General features: G+C 41.2%; 1 annotated feature.

The window, feature by feature from the left end:
• Window positions 264-1,463: an enhancer, noted in NCBI's record as "MED14-independent group 3 enhancer chr12:48995486-48996685 (GRCh37/hg19 assembly coordinates)". NCBI's record gives its function as "activates an origin of replication core promoter dependent on BRD2, BRD4, P300/CBP and CDK7 cofactors, and independent of MED14, by STARR-seq in HCT116 cells {active_cell/tissue: HCT116}" and the evidence as "EXISTENCE:reporter gene assay evidence [ECO:0000049][PMID:35650434]".

The following is a 1,680-nucleotide window of genomic DNA, read 5'->3' as shown; positions in this document are numbered from 1 at the left end:
CATCACAGTTTGAGTCTTCTTAATACAAGTGTTCACCTGTACCCCCATCTACCTCCAAAGATCAGGCTTTTCTTCTTGACTAGAGTAAGAAAGAGAGAGTTTTATCTTACCTTCCTCTACAGTTGTGTTTTCAGAAGTTTTTCCTTTGTTCCAGGTGCTGTCTCCACCGTCTCCGTCTCTAACTTGGGTCCTGATTCACCCCTCTGATGGCTCTAGCCTGGAATTTCCAGGCTACTTCCCTCATTTGGACTGTGCTCCCTTTCTACAGGCATTATGGGAAGGTTGACTTGGGTAAGAACTTTCATGTTAATACCTTTTTATTATTCACAACACTGTCCATGTAAGACTGGATGAGTATTTCCAATATTCCTTCTAAAGGGCTGGTGTAATCAAAGAAAGTTATAGGAGAAAAACATGTAAAACTGACACTCTATGTGGTCTTTATAAGAATTTAAGAAGGCCTTTAACATGGAGGTTAAAATCCTTGTTAGAAACAAGTGCTTGGTGCTGCAAAGAAAACCAACATGTAGGCAGAAAATTCCTCAGCAAGGCAAATTTACTTCTGCAGAAGGGTGCAGCTTGTGCCAGTCACAATTGCAAGAGCACACCGAGTGTGGTGGGGCAGGGGTTTTTATCCCTAATGCAATCAGTCCCTACTGCTGTGTTCTTTCCCCATTGGCTGGAGTTGAACAGCACAATCTAAGCTAACCTGATTGGTTAATGATTGAAATTGAATACAGCTAACTAGGTGGGAAGAGGGAGGCTATCTATTATGGTGTGAGGCATGTCTGGGCATGTCAGGGTGTGGCAAGGATGGGAAGAGTTGTTTACAGCATGGGTAACTAGAAACATGGGTAACTAGAAACCCATGTTACAGCATGTGTCTTAAAAACAAAGGACAAGGAACTAAAGCCTTTTGAAGAGGAATTTATCATTTTTGACAGTTTCCCCCTCTGATTTTATAGCTTTTCCTCTTCAAAACATCTCAGCATACCCCGGCTCTGTTGTTCTTCTTGGGTATCTAGAAGGAAGAGTTTATCAGAATAGGGTGGGGGAGAACTAAAGGAGGTTTTGGTGAGAGCTGTTTCTATAAGTCTTCACACTAAACCGCAAATACAGGGTATGATACAGCATCCTACAAGAATGAGCACGCCTATAACAATTACAAGGGAGGTGAATATTGAGGTCATAATTCCTTTCCATTTCCCAAACCATTTTTCCATGAGGCTTGTAAAGGGGTCATTTATTCCAGAATTTTTGGCTAACTCATTTGATAGGGAGGTAAGGCCTTGTAGGGCTTTTTTTTTATTGTTCCTCTGGGGGCTGTGTTATTAGGAATAAAAGTGCAGTGTTGAACTCTGATCATAACACAGACTCCGCCTTTCTCTGCTAACATCATATCAAGGGTTACCCTATTTTCCCAAGCCACCTGGCTGGTGGAGCCTGATTGTTCAGCTATTCCTTTAATGGTATCTCTTGTATAATTGACAAATCGCTGCTGATTATAGTAGATGTAATTTATCTAATTTACATTTTCATTTATAGTTGACCACCAGAACCATGCTGACTCAAACCTTGCAGCTATTTGGTTTCGGGCTTTAAATTCATCTGGCACTTCTTGCAGAACTCCAATAGCATCTATATATACATGTGAGTCAAAAGACCTGTGAGGGGCACTTC

Source organism: Homo sapiens, chromosome 12 (genome assembly GCF_000001405.40).
Source record: "Homo sapiens chromosome 12, GRCh38.p14 Primary Assembly".
Lineage (NCBI taxonomy): Eukaryota > Metazoa > Chordata > Mammalia > Primates > Hominidae > Homo > Homo sapiens.
This window is presented reverse-complemented; position numbering and strand designations above follow the sequence as displayed.